The following is a 22,789-nucleotide window of genomic DNA, read 5'->3' on the forward strand; positions in this document are numbered from 1 at the left end:
TGCTTTGGCTATTTGAGGTATTCTGTGGTTCCATATGAATTTTAGTATTTTTTTTCCATTTCTGTGAAAAATGTCATTGGAATTTTGGTAGAGATTGATTGCATTGAATCTGTATTGCTTTGGGTGGTATCGTTAGTGTTTTCTATATATAAGATCATGTCATTTGGAAACAGAAAAAAGTTTTACTCCATCTTTTGTGATTTGGGTACATTTATTTCTTTTTCTTGCCTAATTGCTTTAGCTAGGACTTTCAATAGTACATTGAATAGAGTGGTGACAGTGGGCATCCTTGACTTGTTCCAGATCTTAGAGGAAAAGCTTTCAGCTTTTTACCATTGAGCATAATGTTAGCTGTGGCCTTGTCATATATGGCCTTTATTATGTTTTGTATCTGTGGTCACCAGGGATATTGGTCTGTAATTTTCTTTTCTTGTAGTGTGCTTGTCTGGCTTTGGTATCAGGGTAATAATGGTTTCACAAAACGAGTCTGAAAGTATTCCCTCTTTTTCTATTTTTTTAAAAAGTTTGAAAAGGTTTGGTTTTAGTTCTTCTTTAAATGTTTGGTACAATTCACAGGTTAAGCCATCACATAATAGGATTTTCTCTGGTGGCAGGTTTTTGATTACCGATTCAATCTCCTAACTCATTATTGATTTGTTCTCATTTTTTCATTTCTTCATGATTCAGTCTTGGTAGGTTACATATTTCTAGGAATTTACCAATTTCTTTTAAGTTATTCAGTTTGTTGATGTATAGTAGTCTCATGAGCCTTTGTATTTCTGTGCTATCAGTTGTGATGTTTGTTCTTTTGTTTATAATCTTGTCTCTTCACTTATTCATCTAGCTACAAGTCTGTAAATTTTATCTTTTCAAAAAAATCAACTCTTAGTTACACGGATCTTTTCTGTGGTTTTTCTGTTTTCTATTCTATTTCATTTTTTCAACTAGACATCTATTGTCCATGAAGGAAACAGAGTTGAAAAGCGTGTTGTCCATGCCTTCAAGGAGCTTACAAACGATAGGAGAGACAAATTGCTGTTTCATCAATTCCAAGATATACATGTTTTATATTTTAATATCTCTGAAATCAGGGTGCAGCTTCAATTGATAGAATCTTAACAACAGTTGCTGAAGAGTCAGTTACCATTGTGTACATATATGTGCACTTGTTTCTGCTTGTTTGTTAGTATGTTTGTTAGCTTGTGGCTTAAAGAAACAACTGTAATCCATCCATGTTTTAGTCAACAAATTACTCTTTTCCATTTGGGAAAAGAATATGAGTTCTAGTTGTTGCCTAAAAACATTTCTGTCAGTACCTTTGGTTAAAATTTTAAAAATATCAGTATCAAAACCAGCAGAATGGCTGTCAGTAGCTTGGAAGACAATTGGGGAAACAATAGAAGAGCATTCTGTTCCTGACCAACCAAAGGAACACACAGAGAATATACGTGAAACAACATGAACATCTGCAACTGAATCATAAAGTGCTTTAGAAGAGTCAGACTATGATGGTGCATAAGTTTTAAAAATATTTCAAAATATTTTTTATTGTTATATTTATTTATAAATTTATTATATTTATTTTTATTTTATATATATTTTCCTATTTATTATATTCATATTTTCCTTTTTCTGCATGCACAGGAGGAATATAATCTAAATTAAGTCTGGAAGAGTTCTTTAAGACAAATATGAAAATTCTAAGTGATAAAGTCTTATATCGTAATTTAATTTGAAGTACTTTTTCTTTCTTAGTGGTGCATCTTACAATTGAGTGCCTCTTGGAGCTAATGAAATACAGTAGTTATTACAGTACAGAATGATAAGTGCCATGAAAAAGGCCATTAAGTGATGCTGAAACAAAGAGGGAGTACATATAAATTAAATTCAAGATTTACAGAAATTCAGAGCAGGCAGTGGAGCTAAGTTTTAAAGGTTAGCAAATTGGCCTACAGGCTCTGAGGGGTGGTTCAGGCAGCATGAAGAGTGCAAGAAAGCATGGAGTGGTAGGCAGCAAGTCATGTTGGGGAAACTGCAAGTCATCCCTTAAGGCTGGAGTTATAAGGTAAATGTTAGTTGCACAGTTGAGGTCTTACAGGGGCCAGATAAAAAAGAGCACTGTGTGCTAAACAGCATAATTTCAATATTATCTTGCAAACTGTGAGTCGTGATTAAAAAATGTGAAATAGGGGGAAAATTAGAAAGAACAAAAATCAGTATTGTAAGGATGGATTGGGCAGATCCCAAGCTGGAAATGAGTGGAAAGCTTAGAAAGCTAGTGTTGACAAATTCATTGAGAAGGGCTGAGCACCAGAAATAAAGCTACTGTAGCCCATGGCTTGGCTGTTGGCGGCAGCAAGGTACCCACCCAATGGCCCACCACGGGTTTAAATATATATATATTTATTTATATATATATAATATATAATATATAAATATATATTAATATATATTAATATTATATAAAATATATTTATATATAAATATATATATGAAGTAGAAGAAAAAAGAAATAAAGCTACTGTAGAAGAAAGAGAAATACTGATATAAACATAAATTAAAATGTGATAAGGTAGTCAGCAATTAAAAGGAACAAACTACTGATACATGCAACAACATAGATGACTCTCAAATGTATTATATAAGTGAAAGAAACCAGATGTAAAAGGCACATAATGTATAATCCCATTAATATGACATTCTGGAAAGGCAAGACTAATGGGGATAGAAAGCAGTGGTTGCCAGGGGCTGGGTTTGGGTGGACTACACAAGGGAACAAGGGAATTGTTCAAGGTGATGGAAATGCCCTATATCTCAATTGTGGTACTGGCCCTACTACCAAATGTGTTTGTCAAAATGGACTGAATTTTACTATGTATGAATTATACCTCAGTAAACGTGACTTTAAAAACCCCACCAAAAATGTGATAAGATGGAACACAGCCACACTCATACATTGATGTACTGCCTTTGTCTGCTTTTCTACTATAATAGCAGAGTTGAGAAGTTTTAACAAAGACTGCATGATCCACAAAGCTTAAAAATATTTTCTATCTGGCACTTTACAGAAAAGGTTTGTCAACCCTGATATATGGTAATATTACCAATTTGTTCTGTTCTCATTCAAAAATCTTACTTGTTGGCCAGGCATAGTGGCTCAAGCCTATAGTCTCAGCACTTTGGGAGGCCAAGGTGGGCAGATCACTTGAGGCCAGGAGTTTAAGACCAGCCTGGCCAATATGGTAAAACCCCATCGCTACTAAAAATACAAAAATTGGCCAGCGGGGGTAGCACACATCTGTAATCCCAGCTACTCGGATGGCTAAGATATGAAAATCATTTGAATCCGGGAGGCAGACACTACAGTGAGCTGAGATCGCACCACCGCACTCTAGTCTGGGTGATAGAGCGAGACTTTGATCAAAACAAAACAAAACAAAACAAAACAAAATATTCACAAGAAGACTAGAAAGGCAATAACTGAATGTGCACAAACTCTCTATTCAAACTATTTGGGGTACAGAATGAGTTGTTTTCCAAATATGTCCTGAATTAAGTTTCCAAATGGAAAGAGTATTCAGTTCTCAATAACAGCCATAGATGGTTTTTCTTAGAAACTTTCACAAGGCTAGGCATAGTGGCTAACGCCTGTAATCCGAACACTTTGGGAGACCAAGGCGGGAGGACTGCTTGAGCCCAGGAGTTCGAGATCAGCCTGAGCAACATGGCAAAACCCCATCTCTACCAAAAATACAAAAAAAATTAGCCAAGCCTGCTGGTGTGCACCTGTAGTCCCAGCTACTTGGGAGGCTGAGGTGGGAGGATGGTTTGAGCCTGGAAGGCGGAGGTTGCAGCAAGCTAAGATTGTGCCGTTGCACTCCAGCCTGGGTGACATAGCCAGGCCTTGTCTCAAAAAAATGAAAATTAAAAAAAAAAAAAAAAGAAAGAAACTTCCACAAAACCTTCCCATTATAATAGCATCTCCCAATTCAATCTATTGTCTAAATCATATATTTGTTGGATATCTTTTTTTGTTAGAATAATAGACAGGTGTTTTACTTAAGTGATTAGCTACAATCTGCAAAACTGCTTCTTTATATACTACTGTGTATTTGAGACTTGAAGTATATATTAGGTAGACATTATCAACTAGACATTATCAAGAGGCTTTCAATTCTCTTTTGAAGCTGGAAAATACGGATAACAAAGTTTCTGGCACTTTGACATAAAAATAAAGTATAAGTGCTAAAAGATTTTTTAAATGTGATAAGGGAAGAAATTAAGCTAATTGCCTAGATAAGATTTCTTCATTATATACTAGTTTTACTTATTTCATTATTTATTTTTAAAAATGAAGAATTGTTAAGCGTTAATATACATATGCATCTGCAACAGTTACAATGATGACTTACAATTAGCTAGGTATAAATTTGAGTTACATTTTCCAGAAATGGCGATGTATTACAGAGAAGCATCCATATCATATTTTTTCCAATAAAGTACACTTGTGAAGTAACTTACTAAGATAAGGGTTGTAATTTTACAATTTAATTTATAAAATTCCCTGTGTAAGCAATTGCCACCTGCTTATTAGTACCCTGATGAAACTTACTAAAGTAACTATTCTATACAATGTATAATATTTATAATTTTACAAGTATGAGTAACACTAAAATTCATTGTAATTTCATTAATTTATTAAATTATGGCAAATAATATTACAAATACTTATGATCCTCTTATAGCATTCTCCCACTATATAGGCAAGGAATTTGAAATGACATTTAATGAAAATGTCACTTCAAATTAGAAATTTCATTCTGCTAACTCTTTAGGCACTGTGATGGTTAATTTTATGTGTCAACTTGACTGGGCTGTGGGATGCTCAGATATTTGGTTAAATAGTATTCTAGGGGTGTTTGTGAAGGTATTTCTGGATGAGATTAGCAGTTGAACTGGTAGATTGAGTAAAGCAGATGGCCTTCCTCAATATGGGTGGGCTTCATCTAATCAGTTGGAGGCCTGAGTAGAACAAAAAGGAGAAAGGCAGTATTTGCTTTCTCTATGTGTTATTGAGCTGGGATATTAGTCTTCCTTACTCAGACTGGAACTTATACTATTGGCTCTATTGGTTCTCAGCCCTTCAAGGCTTCTCTTAGAACTACACCACCACACCACCTCTTTCCTGGCTCTCCAGCTTGCAGATGGCAGATCATGGGAGTTCTCAGCCTCCATAATCTCACACATCAATTTCTTACAATAAATCTCTATAGGTTCTGTTTCTCTATGAAATCCTAACTAATACAGACACTAAAGTTTATAGTCTGATAGGTTGGAATGTATTTTAAATTTAAAATATTCTACATAAAAGAGGCAGGCGACAAAGCAATATCATTATTAAAGAGAAACTGGGCCAGGAGCAGTGGCTCAGGCCTGTAATCCCACCACTTTAGGAGGCCAAGGTGGGGGGATCACCTGAGGTCAGGAGTTTGAGACCAGCCTGGCCAACATGGCAAAACCCTGTCTCTACTAAAAATACAAAAATTAGCCGGGTGTGGTGGTGTGGGCCTATAATCCCAGCTACTCGGGAGGCTGAGGCAGGAGAATCACTTGAACCCGGGAGGCGGAGGTTGCAGTTAACCAATATCATGCCACTGCACTTCAGCCTGGGCAACAGAGTGAGAGTGAGACTTCATCTCAAAAAAAAAAAGAGAGAGAGAAACTAAAGAAGATATGAGACAGAAGCCTTGGTAAGCCTGAGATTTGAAAAGGATTGCTAGAGTCAACCATTTTAAAGTTCTGATGTGATCAACAGTATATACATGGTTCTTGAAAAATAAACTTTATAATTAAAGAAATCTGTAGGAGCTGAAGTAAGTAAATTCTTAGATAGCATTGTAAGAGCTATTCTTTGTGGAAAAAAAAATACTAAGAAGACAGGAAGGGTGACAGACTGTAGTAAAATAAAAAAGCAAGAAAACAAGATGAGCTACAGACTCATATAAAAAATCAGCCCCGCCTGGGCAGGGTGCTTCACACTTGTAATCTCAGAGCTTTAGGAGGCTGAGGTGGGAGGATGACTCAAGAACATACGTTTGAAGCTGCAGTGAGCTGTGCCTGCGCCACTGCACTCCAGTCTGGTGGACAGAGCAAAAACCTGTCTCTTAAAAAAAAAAAATTTAAAAAGTCAGCGTCAAAAAAAAAAAAAGCCTCCAAGGTCCAACGTTGCATAAAGAACACTTAAATGAATACAAATGTCTTGAAATCTTCATAAGAGAAAAGCACGAAGTCAAGGCAAAAATAAGAGGCACAGCAATGAATCCAAGACACAGACCAATAAAAACAAAGGAGAGAGAATAAAAGAATAAAAATATTTCCACTATATTTGCATAAACAAGAAGTGAGGACTGCAGATTAGATGGAAGAGAGGGGAAAGGATTTGGTCTGAGTTTAGCTATAGAAAGAAAAACTTAGCTAAGAGGTCAGTGATGATACTAAGATTTCAACATATTTTAGACCACAATTATTTTCACTAAAAGTCCCATAAACTTACGTGCACTTGAATTTTAGATTAAATTTGACTTGGTGTTTAATCTAACTAGTAATTGATCAGAAGGAAAAGATCTCAGATCTAGTGTATTTATGATGATGTAGAAAGAAATCTGGAAATATGCCCTTATCTGGTTGTGAAGGAAAAGAATAACTTGTATTTCTTCAACACTATGAAATCACTGGTTTCAACCCTAAAAAAAGAATAATCAGTTAAAAGAATCTGACCTAACACTTGAGCCAAATGATTTATGACTTTTATAGCCTATTATAAAACTTACTTTACGTACTGCCTCAAATCTGTGTTAAAGCTCTGTTTTCCTTTTACTTCATATGAAATGCAGTCCTAAAAATAATCAAGTCTAAAAATAAGGCAAAAACCACAGATTAAGTGTAGCTTTATACATGTACAAATAACAGGGAAGTCTCCACATCTTCTAGGAAAACAGATGGTGTATCTACTTTTTCCCACTAAATTCTCTATGTTGCATCAAACCTCTGGAACTTTTTCATCAATGTGCACTATATTATTATACAAACCAAATTCATTCTTTAAGTTTATTAATTCCTGTGTCCCACAGAGGAGTCTTATATTTGATCTCAGGGGCTTGGTTTCTATAATAAAAAGCAACTGATTATTTACATGGAAAGAAGCTATATAGCAAAAGAAACAAATTCACCTCCAAAACATATTACAGTTATTATATTTCTCTATCCCTTTCCAAAGTCTATACTTCTAGGAAACTCTTTTCTCTAAAAATTTTCTCTAAAAATTAATGAGCAGAGAAGCAAAATGGGAAAAAAGAAAAGGAGTTTTCAGAAAATGTGCTTAGTTTGCTTATCTCTACTGTTTCCCAATCTTTGCAGGACATCTAAAAGGTTGACAGGATATGTACAAAGGATGGGTAAATGTTTTTACGGGAAACTTATGTGCCTTTCAATTATCATCATCTGTATTTTTCAGAGAGAGGACTGATAAGACATGACTAAATGACCTTATTCTGTGACAGAAACTAGAAGACACTGAGTTTGTAACTCAAAAGTGTATCAGGAAATAGAAAGTCCTGCCATTAACTTTAACTGTAGTATCTTCCCACCCTTATTCATCCATGCATTAATAAACTGAACAGGAAACTGAAAAACATTAAAATAAAATAATGTTTTGGTGAGTTTATTGTCACTCTCTAGAAATATAGGAGAAAATCTGTTCTCAGACTCTTAAACTAATTCTTTTACATAACAAGATAGCATACTCAAAGGCAGGATACTTTGGGAGGCCTTCCAGTGTAGCTATGAGATCTGAATTATTAGATATACACATACTCTTTTGTTTGGTTAGTCTTTTAAAAAACAGCAGCATGAAGTGAACATAAATTTCATAGCTCAAACATACAGTATAAAACTAACTATGAAAACCTGACACAGAAACAGTACTGTTTGGAAAAATTGATGACAAATTATTTCCAGTTTTCATTAGAATGAGAGTTTTTATTTTAATGTGAAGAAAATATTCATGTTATATATAATTATATAAATAATATAATAGCAAATGAAGATGGAATCAAAAAGGAAATTAATATTTTTTTCTTCAAGACCTTCTCCATATGATTTCAAAGCAATGGCACATGAAATATTACTACTCAGGAGGCTGAGGCAGGAGAATCGCGTGAACCTGGGAGGCGGAGGTTGCCGTGAGCCGAGACTGCACCACTGCACTACAGCCCGGGTGACAGTGCGAGACTCCATCTCAAAAAAAGAAAATCATATATGTGGAGAATGAATTCTATACCCAGAATACATTAAAAGACTCCTATAACTCAACAACAAAAAGTCAATTAAAAAAATAAAAGCTCAATTAAAACATGGGTAAGGACCATAGCCAACATCATACTGAACAGGAAAATGCTAGAAGCATTCTTTTTAACAACTGGAATAAGACAAGGATGTCCACTCTCACCATTCCTATTCAACATAGTACTAGAAGTCCTAGCCAGAGTAATCAGGCAAGACCAAAAAATAAAAATAGGAAAAGGGGAAGTCAAGCTATCTTTCTTCACAGATTATATGATTCTACACCTAAAAAACCCTATAGACTCCACCAAAAGGCTCCTAAAAGTGCCAAGTGACTACAGTAAAGTTTCAGGATACAAAGTCAAGGTACAAAAATAAGTAGCATTTGTATACACCAATAACATCCAAACTGAAAGCCAAATCAAGAACACAATCCCATTTACAACAGCCACAGAAAGAATAAAATACCTAGGAATGCAGCTACCCAAGAAAGTAAAAGATCTTTTCTCTGCAACAAGAATTACAAAACACTGCTGAAAGAAATCAGAGATTAGACAAACAAGTGAAAAAAACATGCTGTGCTCCTAAGAATTACAATTGTTAAAATGGCCATACTGCCCAAAGCAATTTACAGATTAAATGCTATTCCTATCAAATTACCAACATCATTTTTCACAGAATTAGAAAAAACTATCCTAAAATTCATATAGACTCAAAAAACAGCCTGAATCGCCAATGTAATCCTTAACAAAAACAACAAAACCTGAGGCATCATGCTACCTGACTTCAAACTAGACTACAAAGCCACAGTAACCAAAGCAGCATGATACTGGTACAAAAACAGATACCTAGACCAATGGAATGGGAAGTGGAACCCAGAAATAAAGCCACATACCTACAACCACCAGATCTTTGACAGAGTCAACAATAACACACAACAGGGCAAGGACTCCCTATTCAATAAGTGGTGCTGGGATAACTGGCTAGCCATAGGCACAGGATTGAAACTGGAACCAATCCTTTCACCATATACAAAAATTGCTTCAAAATAGGTTAGAGACTTAAATCTAAGACCTAAAACATAAAAACCTAGAAGAAAACCTAGGACATACTGTTCTGAATATGGGCCTTGGCAAAGAATTTATGACTAAGACCACAAAAGAACTTGCAACAAAACCAAAAATTGACAAGTGAGACCTAATTAAACCAAAAAGCTTCTGTACAGCAAAAGGAGCTATCAGCAAAGTAAGCAGACAACCTCCAGAATGGGAGAAAATATTCACAAACTATGCATATGACAAGGGTCTAATAACATAAAGAACAATTCAACAGAGAAAAAACAACCCCACTTAAAAAATTGGCAAAGGGCATGAATAGACATTTCTCAAAAGACATACATGCAGCCAATGAATATATTTTAAAAAGGCTCATCAACACTATCATCAGAGAAATGCAAATCAAAACCACAATGAATACCATCTCACACCAGTCAGAATGGCTATTATTAAAAAGTCAAAAAATAACAGATATTGATGAGGTTGTGGAGAAAAGGGAACACTTACACAATGCTGGCAGCTATGTAAATTAGTTCAGCCACTGTGGAAAGCAGTTTGGAGACTCCTCAAACAACTTAAAACAGAACTACCATTTGACCTAGCAATCCCCTTACTAAGTATATACTCAAATGAAAATAAACTGTTCTACACATATGTTCATTGCAGCACTGTGATGGTTAATACTGAGTGTCAACTTGATTAGATTGAAGGATGCAAAGTATTGATCCTGGGTGTGTCTGTGGGGGTGTTGCCAAAGGAGATAAACACTTGAGTCAGTGGGCTGGGGAAGGCAGACCCACCCTTAATCTGGTGGGCATCATCTAATCAGCTGCCAGCCAATATAAAGCAGGCAGAAAAACATGAAAAGGCAAGACGGGTCTAGCCTCCCAGCCTACATCTTTCTCGCGTGCTGGATGCTTCCTGCCCTCAAACATCAGAGTCCACATTCTCCAGTTTTGAGACTTGGAGTGGCTCTCCTTGCTCCTCAAGCTTGCAGACAGCCTATTGTGGGACCTTGTGATGGTGTAAGTTAGTACTTAATAAACTCCTCTTTATATATATATATGTGTGTGTGTGTATCTCCTATTTGTGTGTGTGTGTGTGTGTGTGTGTGTGTGTGTGTGTGTATATATATATATATATATATTCACACACACACACACACTATATATATTAGTTCTGTCTATATATATTAGTTCAGTCCCTCTAGGGAACCCTGACTAATACAAACACTACACACAACAGCAAAGACATGGAATCAACCTAGGTGCCCACCAACAGTGGACTAGATGAAGAAAATGTGGCATAGATACACTATGGAAAACCATGCAGCCATAAAAAGGAAGAAAATCATGTCCTTTGCAGCAACATGGATGTAGCTAGAGGACATTATCCTATGTGAACTAACAGGAACAAAAAGTCAAAACTGCATGTTCTCATAAGTGGGAGCTAAACATTGAGTACACATGGACATAAAGATGGGAAAAACAAACAATAGGGACTACTTGAGAGGGGGCTGTGGGTTGAAAAACTATCAGATACTATGTTTAACTGCCTGGGTGACGGAATCATTTATACAGCAAACTTCAGTGACATACAATTTACCCATGTAAATTGTGACCTGCACATGTACCCACAAATCTAAAATAAAAATCAAGAGAAAAAATAAATAAGACAGACATGGGTAAGGGTCTCGAATAGGTATTTCTCCAAAGAAGATATACAAATAGCCAGTAAGTACATGAAAAAGATGCTTAGCATCAGTAGTCATTAGGGAACTGCAAATCAAAACCACAGTGAATTACCACTTCGCAGCCATTAGGATGATGATTATAAAAAAAAAAAAAAAAAAGAAAGAAAAGTGTTAGGGAGGATGTAGAATAATTGGAACCATTGTGCATTGTTGGTGGGAATGAAAATGGTGCAGCTGCTATGGAAAACAGTTTATTGGCTCCTTAAAAAATTAAACGCAGAATTACCATATGATCCAATAATTCCATTCCTAGGTATATACCTTAAAAACTGAAAGCAGGGACTCAAATACATACTTGTATACCACTGTTCACAGCAGAATTACTTACTATAGCCAAAAGGTTACAATAGTCTAAAGGAAACAACCCCAAGGTCCATCAACAGACCAATGGAGAAACAAAGAGTGGTATAGACATACAACAGAATATGACTTTGCCCTAAAAAGGAATGAAATTCTGATATATGCAACAACATGGATAAATCTTGAAAACATTATGGTAAGTAAAATAAACTAGACAAGAAGGACAAAAATTATATGATTCCATTTATATGAGGTACCTAGAATAGGCAAATTTATAGGGACAGAAAGTAGAGTTTACCAGGGTCTGAGAGGGAAAGAAAAACTGAGAGCTACTGTTTAATGAGTACAGAGTTTTTGTTTAGGATGATGAAAAAGCTCTGGAAAAAGGAAGTGGTAATGGTTACACAACATTGTGAATGTACTTATTGCCAGTGAATTGTACATGGCGAAACCCTGTCTCTACTAAAATACAAAAAAATTAGCTAGTCATGGTGACAGGCGCCTGTAATCCCAGCTACTCAGGAGGCTGAGGCAGAAGAATTGCTTGAACCCGGGGTGGGCAGAGGTTGCAGTGAGCCGAGATTGTGCCATTGCATTGCAGCCTGGGCAAAAGAGTGAAACTCCATCTCAAAAAAAAAAAAAAAAAAAAGGCTAATGTGGTAAACTTTATGTTATATATATTTTGTCACCATTTAAAAAATAATCTATTCAGTGAATATATAATTAGCTCCCACTGTAGCTGAAACCTATTTTGTTTAGATTTCCAAATTACTAGTAAATGTATTCTGTGTGGGGACATGCACATAAAATGAATCTCACTTTGTAATTGACACATAATATATGTACATATTTTCACAGCACATGTGATATTTTGATACATTCATATAATGTGAAATTTAAAAATTAGGGTAATTAAGGTGTCAATTACCTTATACATTTATCTTTTCTTTATGCTGGAACATTTGAATTATTAACTACTAGCTATTTTAAAATATACAATAGATTATTGTCTACTATAGTCATTCTACTTATTTATCAAACAGTAGGTCTTATTTCTCCCACCTACCTGTATTTTTATAACTATTAATCAACCTCTCTTCACTCCTCCTTTCCCCCTACCCTTCCAGGCCTCTGGAAAATAAATATCTTTGAAAAACAGCCCCTGGTATGTTGTGCACATCAGATATCCTAGAATGTACTTTCAAAAGCTCCAAAGAATTATAATTGCACTTTAATTTGAATAATTTTATTACTATTTTGGTTCTTTACCTATATAAAAAAACACAGGTCATAACAAGAAGATATCCATAAATTCTGCTGATGGCCTAAGCATATATGCTTATAGTCCAAGTGCAGCTAAAAATGAACACTGTACCTGATAGAGCATAATAGGTTCTATGTTGTATCCTAAGGTATCGGCAAAGTTCTTAGCGATCACTGTTTTTCCACAACCCTACAAATGGAAAAAATTATTCAAGAGGTAAGTCAAAATAACCAAAAGCCAGGAAACTAAAAGTCTGCAGTGAGACTGTCATTCTTACCTTTCCTCCAATTAAACATATATCTTTAACCATGTGAGACTGCATCATTTCAGCCTGTAGCTGCTTATGGCTCAAAGTCTGTATGAAACGGTCTGACGCACAAGGTTGACTTAATAGCCTGGTCCCGGCTGGCACCTATAATTAAAGAGAGGTCAATATAACATGGCCAGATGTGGTGGCTCACGCCTATAATCCCAACACTTTGGGAGGCCAAGGCAGGCAGATCACTTGAGGTTAGTAGTTCGAGACCAGCCTGGCCAATATGGTGAAACCCCATCTCTACAAAAATACAAAAAAATTAGCTGGGCATGGTGGTGCGCAACTGTGATCCCAACTACTCAGGGGGCTGAGGTAGGAGAATCGCTTGAACCCAGGAGGCGGAGGTTGCAGTGAGCCAAGATTGCGCCACTGCACTGCAGCCTGGGCAACAGAGCGAGACTCTGTCCCAAAAAAAAAAATATATATATATATATATGTGTGTGTGTGTGCGCGTGTGTGTGTGTATATGTGTGTGTGTGTGTGTAAAACATGCATGTTTTTCTCAAAATATCAGTAACTTAAAGTATATAACTGCCACTTAAAAGCCTCCAACTAATAGCTTGCTCAATTTAATTCTTTACTGTTTTTGATATTTCAATAGAGCAGCAACTATTTTTTCATTTAATAGATCTGATGATCATTATTACAAATCTTCCAAATCAATTATTTCCCTAAAATTAAAGTCCCACATTATCAGATGTATTCATAAAAATCATGTCATCTTAATGCTATTTATAACTTATAGTAAAGATATTACTACTGGAGAATAAATTTTTTTCCCAAAATTCTAGTTGTAAGCACAGAATTTAATGTTAGTCCACTGGAATCTCTAAAGTCACCAATGACCTCCTGATTTCTAAAAGTCAAGTCCACAAATCCTTTTCAGGTTTATCTTAGTTTACCACTGAGAGGCATCTGTTCACATATTCTCTCTTCCCATCTTTTACATCTACTTCTCATTTTATTTTTTGTCTTCCCCTTTTATTATTTATCCTCCACTATTAGTTCCCAAGGAGCCATGTTCTGATGAGGACTCTGGGCTGGATCATGTTATATACCACACGAACCAAAGAATTCTAAGTTTGGAAGTGACAGGATCAGATTTGCATTTAAGAATTTAACCTGGTATCAACATGGAAAGCTAACTGGAAGAGACTAGAGGCAATGAGGTTAAAAAGCCATTACCAAAGGGAAGCAAATAATGAAGTCTTGTTCATACCTCATGCTTCTGAACATATTGTTTAAACTGCCAAAAATGTTCTATCCACTCCTGAGCCACTTGAAAAATCCTATATTATTCTTGCAGGCTTAGCTCAAGCTTCATCTTCTCTCTGAAGCTTTCCCTATTCCGTCTCCTGAATCCCAGTATTACTTTCTTCTCCATATCCCCAGTCATTCCAATGCAGTCTTAACTCGTCTGCCTCTATCCTAAACTATCAGCTAGATGAACCATTCATCTGAACAAAACAGAGAGTATAGTGGGGAACTGTCCCTGTCTAGAAATCCCAGCTGTGCCATCTCCTAGCTGCTGTCTCTGGGTGAATCATTAACCTCTTTACATCTCAGTTTTCTAATCTACAAAATGGAGATAATAAAACTTACCTTAATGGATCTTGCGGGATTTAAATCGTGTAATATATGCAGAGACAAATACAGTAAATAGTACACAGTAAACTCATAATATGGAACCTAGCTCATGGTGGATATAATCAATATTCAGTTCAATGAATAAGTACAGTAACATGAATTAATATTAATAATATCAAATATTAAAACAAAAAAGTTTATCATGAGCTGGGCACAGTGGCATGTGCCTGTAGTCCCAGCTACTCAGGAGGCTAAGGCAGGAGTATTGTTTGAGCTCAGGAATTCAAAACAAGCCTGGGCAATATAGTAAGACTCCATAAAATGTGTGTATATATACACATATAGATATATATAGAAGGAGCTGATATATATATAACATATATACATGCAGATGGAGCTCTATGACCAAATATTATTTCCCTCTCTAAAAACAATTCAACCAGAGCAGATCCTTTTTAAACCGTTTCACATAGCTAAGAAAGATTTTACTTGAAAATAGGTCTCTGTAGCAGCTCAAATGTTTGAAAACACTATTTCTTACCAAGGACTCATAGCACAAAATGCTGTCAGTAATCAGCCTGTGACTTGATTTTCCCACAGGTCAACTTTGAATTTTTGATGAAAGGCTTTCCCTATGTTTCTCCTGAACTTTTCCAGTTTATAAGCACACATGACTCTGGAGACATAGACATATAGATACCGACAGAAGCAGTACTATCAAGAGAGAAGACTTACAAGGAGATCATAAACCCAATTTAGGTCATAAAAACAGGCAGAATAAGGTATATCATAGAAAGAATAAACCTGTGATTAATTACCTTAATGGTCACCTCTTTATCTGCAATCCGGATGGTCACAGAAGCTTGGGACACATGGTTTTCCATCATCTTCTCTACTTTTACAATCTCTTTAGGAAGTAGAGAGCTTCCTGAATCTTGAAGTTCAAAGCGCTGTAAAATTACAAGAAAATCATGCAATTTACTTTTCATTTTAGCATTAACATTGGCTATCTGACAGATTACACCTTAATTACAAGTGAAATCCATTTTATATTATTATATAAAAGTAGAGGTTAGGCCAAGGGCGGTGGCTCAGGCCTGTTAATCCCAGAACTTTGGGAGGCCAAGGCGGGCGGATCAGAGGGTCAGGAGATCGAGACCATCCTGGCTAACACGGTGAAACCCCGTCTCTACTAAAAAATAGAAAAAAAATTAGCTGGGCGTGGTGGCGGGCACCTGTAGTACCAGCTACTCGGGAGGCTGAGGCAAGAGAATGGCGTGAACCCGGGAGGTGGAGCTTGCAGTGAGCCGAGATCGCGCCACTGCACTCCAGCATGGGCAAAACGGCAAGACTCCGTCTCAAAAAAAAAAAAAAAAAAAGGAAAAAAAAAAAGTAGAGGTTAAAAAAAGTTAACGAAAATTTTTTTCTATTCCTACTAATACCATTCTACTTACAATAATTATTAAAGATCATATTAAAATAGTCCCTAAAATTTACTAAATGACAAGAAATGGAATCACTGAATTCCTGACCTGGTAGAAGTTCATAGTTTACATTTCTTGACAATCAACTTCCTAGAAGGAGATGATGAGACCCTTCAAAATATGCTGAAATAGGCCCATATTGGTTTATTCTTTAAATCAATCGAAGTTAATGTGTTACCTGAAATTCATGAAAACAGAACTTCTTGGCCATCATTCTGCTGTCAGCTATGTGAATAGCTTAACTAAAATTATTATAACAATTTTCCACAGCATATGGTACAGTGCTTTCTACACTATAGGGGTCTCAATATTTGTTGAACTGGATTTAAAAGGCTAGAACCACCAGGCACAGTAGCTCATGCCTGTAATCCCAGCACTTTGGGACGCCAAGGCAAGCGGATCACCTGAGGTCAGGAGTTCGACACGAGCCTGGCCAACATGGTGAAACCCTGTCTACTAAAAATACAAAAATTAGCTGGGCATGGTGGCACGCACCTGTAGTCCCAGCTACTTGGGAGGCTGAGGCACGAGAATCCCTTGAACCCAGAGACAGAGGTTGCAGTGAACTGAGATTGTGCCACTGCACTCCAGCCTGGGCAACAGAGCGAAAACTTTGTCTCAAAAAAAAAAAAAAAAAAAAAAAAAAAAAGGCTAGAACCATTGATTCTTGATGTGGCCCAATTATCAACGTTCTAACATTGACTACACCACTTCATTCCAGCTAGCTATATCAAAACTACACAGAAAGAATACAGGTAAGTATGTGAAAGATGAAAATAAATTGAAAATTAAGTTCTATGCCTTATTTATAACAGCATGCTCAATATAAAAAACTGAATTTATTTTTACTATTAAATAGGCAGAAATTAACCCCCAAAATCCTACACTAGTTTTGGAACATTATTACTATAGTGAAAGAGTTGAAACTCAATGAAAGAACAGATCATCATGTATTCAGCAGAATGAAAGAACTCCAGAAAATAGATTTGGGAGGAAGAAAATCATGTTTAACCTCAACATTCTAAACTTAACATCCCAGTTCAAGTCTTCATTTTGATGTCATAAGTACTCAAGACAATCACTAACTCCTTTCCCCAAACCTAAAAAAAAACCTGTGAATTTATACTGCCATTAAAAAGTTCTATATTTCATACAATTTATATATGCAAATCCCCACAGTATCACATAATTTGACAAGAATTGCTTCCATGTTGTAGACAAATAACAACTATTGACACCTTAATTTCATGAAAAAAAAAAAGTTCCACTGTATTTTAAGGAGAACTCAACAGGAAAGGAGCAAGACCTACCCAAGTAATTAAATTCATTAGAATGTAGAACAAATGGCTGGGCGCAAAGGCTAATGCCTATAATCCCAGCACTTTGGGAGGCAGAGATGGGTGGATCACTTGAGGTCAGGAGTTCAAGACCAGCCTGGCCAACATGGTGAAACCCCGTCTCTACTAAAAATACAAAAATTAGCTGGGCGTGGTGGCATGTGCCTGTAATCCCAGCTACTCGGGAGGCTGGGTCAGGAGAATCGCTTGAACCCAGGAAGAGGAGGTTGCAGTGAGCCAAGACGTGACACTGCACTCTGCTTGGTGACAGAGCAAGACTCCGTCTCAAAAAAAAAAAAAAAAAGAAAAAAAATTTAGAACGAAGATTCATTAAATTCTAGGAAAACAAATAAATGAGCTTAAATGTATGTTTTCCCACAGCTAGAGTAGTGTCAATCTAACTTGATACAGGAGTGACGTCAGAGGACACATATTCCAGAAATAAACACTATGTCCTGAGCCACTTGCTACACTGGTTATGTCCACACAAATAATTAAAGCTAAAATATTTTAGTAAAATAAAAATAGTAGGCCAGAATACACTAAGATAGTAAAAACCTCAAATTGCAAGGTGAATTATCATTTTCTGGCATGGAAAATTTAGAGGATTGTTACTCAGAAAGGTATTAATCAGAAAGGTACCCCCATATTCTCTATCTCCAACTCCATCATTTAAGTTTCTCAGTCCAAAAGCTTGAAATCACCCTTACCTCTGTCTCAACCCTGCATCCAACCCTTCAGCAAATCATAATGATTCTACCTTCAAACTATAACCCAAATGCAACTACTTCTTATCAACATCACAGCTGGTCAGAAGAACAATAGACATATAATTATTTCAGGTTACTTCCTAGCAAGAAGTAGAAAATAAGAGTTTGTTAACTTACCACTTTCTGAGTATTTCCTATGAATTCTTGAATTTCAATTAAACAGTATTAACATTTTCTTTTTTATTTTTTTAAATTTATTATTATACTTTAAGTTTTAGGGTACATGTGCACAATGTGCAGGTTAGTTACATATGTATACATGTGCCATGCTGGTGTGCTGCACCCACTAACTCGTCATCTAGCATTAGGTATATCTCCCAATGCTATCCCTCCCCACTCCCTCCACCCCACAACAGTCCCCAGAGTGTGATGTTCCCCTTCCTGTGTCCATGTGTTCTCATTGTTCCATTCCCACCTATGAGTGAGAATATGCGGTGTTTGGTTTTTTGTTCTTGCAATAGTTTACTGAGAATGATGATTTCCAATTTCATCCATGTCCCTACAAAGGACATGAACTCATCATTTTTTATGGCTGCATAGTATTCCATGGTGTATATGTGCCACATTTTCTTAATCCAGTCTATCGTTGTTGGACATTTGGGTTGGTTCCAAGTCTTTGCTATTGTGAATAGTGCCGCAATAAACATACATGTGCATGTGTCTTTATAGCAGCATGATTTATAGTCCTTTGGGTATATACCCAGTAATGGGATGGCTGGGTCAAATGGTATTTCTAGCTCTAGATCCCTGAGAAATCGCCACACTGACTTCCACAATGGTTGAACTAGTTTACAGTCCCACCAACAGTGTAGAAGTGTTCCTATTTCTCCACATCCTCTGCAGCACCTGTTGTTTCCTGACTTTTTAATGATTGCCATTCTAACTGGTGTGAGATGGTATCTCATTGTGGTTTTGATCTGCATTTCTCTGATGGCCAGTGATGATGAGCATTTTTTCATGTGTCTTTTGGCTGCATAAATGTCTTCTTTTGAGAAGTGTCTGTTCATGTCCTTCACCCACTTTTTGATGGGGTTGTTTGTTTTTTTCTTGTAAATTTGTTTGAGTTCTTTGTAGATTCTGGATATTAGCCCTTTGTCAGATGAATAGGTTGTGAAGATTTTCTCCCATTTTGTGGGTTGCCTGTTCACTCTGATGGTAGTTTCTTTTGCTGTGCAGAAGCTCTTTAGTTTAATTAGATCCCATTTGTCAATTTTGGCTTTTCTTGCCATTGCTTTTGGTGTTTTAGACATGAAGTCCTTGCCCATGCCTATGCCCTGAATGGTAATGCCTACGTTTTCTTCTAGGGTTTTTATGGTTTTAGGTCTAACGTTTAAGTCTTTAATTCATCTTGAATTGATTTTTGTATAAGGTGTAAGGAAGGGATCCAGTTTCAGCTTTCTACATATGGCTAGCCAGTTTTCCCAGCACCATTTATTAAATAGGGAATCCTTTCCCCATTGCTTGTTTTTCTCAGGTTTGTCAAAGATCAGACAGTTGTAGATATATGGCGTTATTTCTGAGGGCTCTGTTCTGTTCCATTGATCTATATCTCTGTTTTGGTACCAGTACCATGCTGTTTTGGTTACTGTAGCCTTGTAGTATAGTTTGAAGTCAGGTAGTGTGATGCCTCCAGCTTTGTTCTTTTGGCTTAGGATTGACTTGGCAATGTGGGCCCTTTTTTGGTTCCATATGAACTTTAAAGTAGTTTTTTCCAATTCTGTGAAGAAAGTCATTGGTAGCTTGATGGGGATGGCATTGAATCTATAAATTACCTTGGGCAGTATGGCCATTTTCACAATATTGATTCTTCCTACCCATGAGCATGGAATGTTCTTCCATTTGTTTGTATCCTCTTTTATTTCATTGAGCAGTGGTTTGTTGTTCTCCTTGAAGAGGTCCTTCACATCCCTTATAAGGTGGATTCCTAGGTATTTTATTCTCTTTGAAGCAATTGTGAATGACTACTGGGTACATAACGAAATGAAGGCAGAAATAAAGATGTTCTTTGAAACCAACGAGAACAAAGACATAACATACCAGAATCTCTGGGACACATTCAAAGCAGTGTGTAGAGGGAAATTTATAGCACTAAATGCCCACAAGAGAAAGCAGGAAAGATCCAAAATTGACACCCTAACATCACAATTAAAAGAACTAGAAAAGCAAGAGCAAATATATTCAAAAGCTAGCAGAAGGCAAGAAATAACTAAAATCAGAGCAGAACTGAAGGAAATTGAGACACAAAAAAATCCTTCAAAAAATTAATGAATCCAGGAGCTGGTTTTTTGAAAGGATCAACAAAATTGACAGACCGCTAGCAAGACTAATAAAGAAAAAAAGAGAGAAGAATCAAATAGACACAATAAAAAATGATAAAGGGGATATCACCACCAATCCCACAGAAATACAAACTACCATCAGAGAATGCTACAAACACCTCTACGCAAATAAACTAGAAAATCTAGAAGAAATGGATAAATTCCTCGACACATACACTCTCCCAAGACTAAACCAGGAAGAAGTTGAATCTCTGAATAGACCAATAACAGGAGCTGAAATTGTGGCAATAACCAATAGCTCACCAACCAAAAAGAGTCCAGGACCAGATGGATTCACAGCCAAATTCTACCAGAGGTACAAGGAGGAACTGGTATCATTCCTTCTGAAACTATTCCAATCAATAGAAAAAGAGGGAATCCTCCCTAACTCATTTTATGAGGCCAGCACCATCCTGATACCAAAGCCGGGCAGAGACACAACCAAAAAAGAGAATTTTAGACCAATATCCTTGATGAACATTGATGCAAAAATCCTCAATAAAATACTGGCAAACCAAATCCAGCAGCATATCAAAAAGCTTATTCACCATGATCAAGTGGGCTTCATCCCTGGGATGCAAGGCTGGTTCAATATATGCAAATCAATAAATGTAATCCAGCATATAAACAGAGCCAAAGACAAAAACCACATGATTATCTCAATAGATGCAGAAAAGGCCTTTGACAAAATTCAACAACGCTTCATGCTAAAAACTCTCAATAAATTAGGTATTGATGGGACGTATCTCAAAATAATAAGAGCTATCTATGACAAACCCACAGCCAATATCATACTGAATGGGCAAAAACTGGAAGCATTCCCTTTGAAAACTGGCACAAGACAGGGATGCCCTCTCTCACCACTCCTATTCAACATAGTGTTGGAAGTTCTGGCCAGGGCAATTAGGCAGGAGAAGGAAATAAAGGGTATTCAATTAGGAAAAAAGGAAGTCAAATTGTCTCTGTTTGCAGATGACATGACTGTATATCTAGAAAACCCCATTGTCTCAGCCCAAAATCTCCTTAAGCTGATAAGCAACTTCAGCAAAGTCTCAGGATACAAAATCAATGTGCAAAAATCACAAGCATTCTTATACACCAATAACAGACAAACAGAGAGCCAAATCATGAGTGAACTCCCATTTTCTAATACACTTTCTTTAGAATTAGGTTATTTAAACTGTGAATTATAATTAAATAAAATGAAATATAAATCACATTGGATATTGGTCTGTCAGGCTTCCCTATTCATCCTTACAATTCCCAATCCTGTCCCATCAGGCCATCTACTTTCTTCATACCTTTTTCTAGATTGTTAAGTACTGAAAGTGAAATTCTGCATACCATGTTGCCTGAACAAATATGTTGCCACAATCTCTCCTGGGCTCTTTTCTCATAGCCCCTCAGCAACAAATACAAACCATTACTGCTCTCCTCAGAAGTAAATCTGAGCCCATTTACCACCCTTTCAAGAGGCAATCTAGCTGCCTCCTCCACTCAGAACAGAGCTTTCAGACACATACTCCTCCATACTTTACTAGAATGTAAGCCCCATTAGGGCAATATTAAATGTATCTATTTGGCTCACTCCAAATTTCCAGAACCTAGAATCACACATGGGACGGTCAATGGTCAACAATGGTTTGTTAAATGAACAAACAAAATTATTTTTCCTTCATCCTCAAAATCATTGATGTTTTAATCAATTCTTGTTATTGTTCCCACTGTTTCAGTAGAAAGGACTTCTGCTTTAACTATGAGTAGACAGAAACCCCTAGAAGACTTACTATGTCATATTATGGCAGCTTCATCATTCCAGTTCCTGAGTGGAAAGCATGTTCTTCCATCATTTCAAAACAAGACACAAGGGTGCTCTGAAAATGTCCTTTTCCACCTCAGCTAGGGCACATTTTCCATGCACTCCACATTTTTTGTCCCTTCTGCCTATAAAAATGTTTGTCTCCCCATTCCAGAAACAGTCATTTCTTCATTATACCTCATCCTTAAGTGATCTATCATCTTTTGGCTTTTGTTCACCATCAAACTTCATTGATACATATGAATTATAATCACTGGGGGTTCAGCTTCATCTCCAATTTAAAATGTAAGCCCCTTGATTTTTGGCTTACATTCCCACCACTCTACTAACACTGATCTTGGTAGGTCCATCAATAATATCCTATTTACCAAATTAAATAAATTAGTTTTCTTCCTATTTTGCTGTTTCCTTCTCAGTCTTTTTTGCAGTTTCTTCTTCATCTTCTT

The 22,789-nt window shown here is 36.5% G+C and overlaps 1 protein-coding gene across 2 annotated transcripts in view; it reads right to left on the reverse strand.

The window, feature by feature from the left end:
* Positions 1–22,789, reverse strand: part of VWA8 (von Willebrand factor A domain containing 8) — a 394,275-nt gene that overhangs the window by 286,078 nt on the left and 85,408 nt on the right. For both annotated transcript variants that reach the window (NM_015058.2, NM_001009814.2), the window contains exons 10-12: positions 15,434–15,565; positions 12,990–13,124; positions 12,824–12,901 (exon numbers count right to left, since the gene is read on the reverse strand). In NM_015058.2, the coding sequence (NP_055873.1) occupies positions 12,824–12,901; positions 12,990–13,124; positions 15,434–15,565 (345 nt within the window). The remainder of the gene's footprint in view (positions 1–12,823; positions 12,902–12,989; positions 13,125–15,433; positions 15,566–22,789) is intronic.

This window comes from Homo sapiens, chromosome 13 (assembly GCF_000001405.40).
Source record: "Homo sapiens chromosome 13, GRCh38.p14 Primary Assembly".
NCBI classification, from domain to species: domain Eukaryota; kingdom Metazoa; phylum Chordata; class Mammalia; order Primates; family Hominidae; genus Homo; species Homo sapiens.